Source organism: Homo sapiens, chromosome 3, assembly GCF_000001405.40.
Source record: "Homo sapiens chromosome 3, GRCh38.p14 Primary Assembly".
NCBI classification, from domain to species: Eukaryota; Metazoa; Chordata; class Mammalia; order Primates; family Hominidae; genus Homo; species Homo sapiens.
The window spans coordinates 152,877,768-152,881,967 of record NC_000003.12 but is presented as its reverse complement, the minus strand read 5'-3'; the positions used below and the strand labels follow the sequence as shown (position 1 = coordinate 152,881,967).

The 4,200-nt window shown below is 36.6% G+C and overlaps 1 annotated feature.

Annotated features, from left to right (window-relative positions):
- Positions 1,881–2,081: a silencer, noted in NCBI's record as "peak4864 fragment used in MPRA reporter construct". NCBI's record gives its function as "represses an SCP1 promoter by STARR-seq MPRAs in K562 erythroleukemia cells {active_cell/tissue: K562}" and the evidence as "EXISTENCE:reporter gene assay evidence [ECO:0000049][PMID:32103011]".

The window sequence follows — 4,200 nt, the reverse complement described above, 5'->3', positions numbered from 1 at the left end:
CTGGCTTTAGGCTAAAAATGACTTCTGATTTTTATTTTTATAAGCATAATTTTCACTTTTAAAAACTTTTAATTAATATCATTTTTCTTTTATATTTAAAGAGACATTTATTACTTGCAAACTATTTGGTGGTGGTTGTATTTTACAACTTACAGTTCTGAGATGGAAAGTCAAGGATAACTTTTAATCATAAATTTAAAAAACTCTTTGCCTTAACAGAGTGTCATGATTCAGAAGCAATTGGTGTTTTAGAGTAATAAAGATGGCTTTACTGTAGCTAGTAAAGATGACCTATACATTCAAATAATAGGAATTATAATTGTAAAATAAGATTTAGAGAGTAAAAATGAAACAAGATTAGGCAAATCACTCCATATCACCAAAAATCTTTCCACAAGTGAGTATTATAATCGGTGTACACTAGACAGGTATTATTGTATAGAAAATTATATAAAGATCACATAAAGTATACTCTATTCTTAATTCTTAGGGACACAAAGTTGCAGCTACAATGTGGGAGCATTGCTATCCATAGGAATCTAAAATATTGTGCCATGTGTTAACAATGTTCAGAACGTTATTTAAAAAAAGAAAAAAAACCTAAAAAACTAAACATTTGTTTTATACTGCACAATCCAGGGCATAGTCTACTTCATAGAGAAATATCTGAAAGTAAGCATGGGAAAAGAACTGGTAAAGTCAAAATCCTGTTTAACCTTCCCACAGGATACATGTGCAGAGAACAATAGAAATTCCTGTTTTCATTTCTTGATACCTCAGTTTAGCTTTAAATTCCATTTATTTACTAGAAAAGGAAAAGGGAGGAAAGCACTTACTGAATTCCTGAGGAACACAATGACTATATAATATAAACATCAAAAGCAATGAGGTAGACACTGTTCTCAAATATATATTGATTAGGTAGTGTTTGAGAGGTAGGGAGAGGATGGATTAAATGCACAAACAAGTAACTGCAATACAAGATAGAGTAAAATAGATGTCATTGGAGAAGTACAAACAAAGCCTACCTATGTTTTAAAAAGGGTGGAGGAGGAGATTAACACTCTTTTAGCAAATATTTATTGATAGTATCTTATGTACCTAATATCGTTCAAAGCTCTTAGCAGGCCCTAAAGATAAAGCAAGCACAATTTCTGCTCTTCAGGACTCAAAATGCAGAAGGACACTTAAGATAAGAATCACTGCCACATCAGTCTATGAGTTAAAGGATGGCAGGGGACTGTATTTTACTTATTTTGGCATGCAAAGTGATGAGTGAATGCTCAACAGATACTGAATTCATAATTGTAAAGAATTTATCAATGATTTGCACACAAATACTTACCATAAAACCAAACTAAGCATTTTACTTGTTTTTTTTTTTCTTATTTAATCCTCACACCTTGTGAGGTATGATGAAATGATCAATGATGGAACTGATGCTTGGAGAAACGAGAAAAATTGCCCAAAGTTACACAGCTAGTGTATGGCAATGTGCATCTAGAATCTAGGCCTGTCATCACTGCTTTTTTTCATATTATCTTATTGAGTAATACAAGCTGTGAAAAAGACACAGTTAAATTATTATAAGGGTAAAAAAAAATTATCCCAACCAGGGAAATCAGTGATGGCATCAGAGTAGATGGTTGACCTCTAGAGAATGGAGAAAATTCTATGAAATGAAAACAGCATCTAGGCTTGCACTGTCCAGTAGCCACCAGCCACATGTGAAAGTTTAAATTAATTAGAATCAAATACAATTAAGAAGTTAACTCTCCAGTTGCACCAGCCAAATGTCCAAGAGTTAACTATTACATGTTGCTTCCAGCTACTGTATTCATCAGCACAAAATTGTAGATCATTTCCATTCTCACAGAAAGTTCTATTGGAAAGTGTTGTTCTGGACAGAAGGGACTAGGATGATTCTTAGTGGGGGTGTGGCGGGGGAAGACAGCAAGGGAACAAAGTTCAGGTCTGTTCAGAGAAGATTGGGCTATTGAGCATGGTGAGAGTTTAAGGTCCAAATCAGGGTGTAAGGTGTAGAGCAAGATAAGTGCCAGATATATTTTAGATGATCTTGAATGCCAGAGAGAGAATTTACGTTAAGTTGGTAGGCAATGAGAAACATTGAGGACTTCTTGTCAAGGAAGTAATATTATTGGATCTGTTATTAAAATAATTATTTGAGAGGTGGTTCACAGGCCTGATTGAAATGGTAAGAGCTGGTGGCTGGGAAACGGGTTAAGAGGTTACTGAGCTTGGAATAGAAAAGCTAAAAGGGATGTGAGAATTTTGAGGTGGAGCCTATATGGCTTGACATTATGAGGAGAAAGGGGAAAAGAAGTTTGGGTAACTGAAAGAATGCTGGTGGTGTGGTCTGATATATAGAAGTCAAAAGAAGGATGTGGCTTGTTTGGATGACAGTAGATTCAGTTTTGAACATGTCAAATTCAAGTTTCTTTCTGAAGATGTCTGTGAAGCACAAGGGAAACTTTGCAAATCCTCTATTTTTACAGAAAATTCAATTACTGGCCTTTGAGGATAGGAGAGACAGTGAGGTTAAAGGAGTCATCACGGGCAGGCGAACTGTATTAGTTCATTCTCACACTGCTATAAAAAACTACCTGAGACTGAGTAATTTATGAAGAAAAGAGGTTTCGTTGACTCACAGTTCCACAGGCTGTACAGGAAGCGTTGCGGGGAGACCTCAGGAAACTTACAGTCATGGCGGAAAGTGGAGGGCAAGCAAGCACCTTCTTCATATGGCGGAGCAGGAGCAGGAGAGTGAAGGGAGAGGTTCTACCCACTTTTTTTTTTTTTTTTTTTTTTTTTTTTTGAGACAGAGTCTTGCTCTGTCGCTAGGCTGGAGTGTAGTGGTGCGATCTTGGCTCACTGCAACCTCCACCTCCCGGGTTCAAACAATTTTCCTGCCTCAGCCTCCCGAGTAGCTGGGACTACAGGCACGTGCCACCATGCCCAGCTAATTTTTGTATTTTTAGTAGAGATGGAATTTCACCATGTTGGCCAGGATGGTCTCGATCTGTTAACCTCGTGATCCGCCTACCTCAGTTTCCCAAAGTGCTGGGATTACAGGCGTGAGCCACTGTGCCCAGCCGGTTCTACCCACTTTTAAACAACCAGATCTCATGAGGACTCACTCACTGTCACAAGAACAGCAAGAGGGACGTCCACCCCTGTGATTCAATCACCTCCTACCAAGCCCCTCCTTCAACACATGGGGATTACAATTCAACATGAGATTTGGAAGGCGACACAGAGCCAAACCATATCAGGAACCAATATACACAATGGCAGGAGAAGAGTCTAAAAATGTGCCAAATTCAAGAGTTACAGAGGCAGGTATAACAGAGGAAGTAAAAAGCCAAGAGTTTGGAGCCAGGAATGAAACAATTTTGTTTATCTCTTATAGCTTTGGGATACTGCACATTTTTAAAAGAAGTCTTGTTGGTTTAATATTATTTCTCAAGTAGGCTACTACTAAAAACATATCTAATCATATTCATTTCAGATTATTTCATAATGTTTTCAATGTTTATGATAGTAAGATAGTGTGTATGAAGAGTTAGAAATTCATGTAGGATTCTCTCAAGTTCCACTGTGGACTTTTATATGTGATACAAACTATTGGTATAAGGGCTTTAAATTATCAGTCCTGTAATTTCAGATATCACAGAGAATGAGTTTCCTTTCACCTTGATAACCAATAAAATTCCAAGATCCCTGGAGTGATTCTTTCACAGGAATTTTACTGTTCTCTTCTTTTATTTCTTCAGTATAATTGGTAGAGGAGGTAAAGAACCAGAACGTAAAGTAAAAGTTAAAATGAAACCCAGATGGTCAGATAGAGTTCTACGTATTTGTCCAACTTTTTGCGTGGAGATAGGAAAAGGCAAATATGTCCATCTTTGTTAGAAACTAAGACAGGGTACTTTTGACAACCAGGCTTCCAGAGATCAAAATAATGTAAGATAAAAAGATTGATGCTAACTCAGAATTCTAAGGTTTTACACAGTGGTTTCCTAAATGTAAGAAAATTTTTCTACCAGACCGTATCCTGTATTGCTGAACTTATAAATGCTGTTTTTGTTTAGTGATTTAGTTGTTTTAAAGGTTAAATGCTTGTAATTTATACACTTACCAAGCCCATATTACACACACACACACAAAACCCAAAAAACC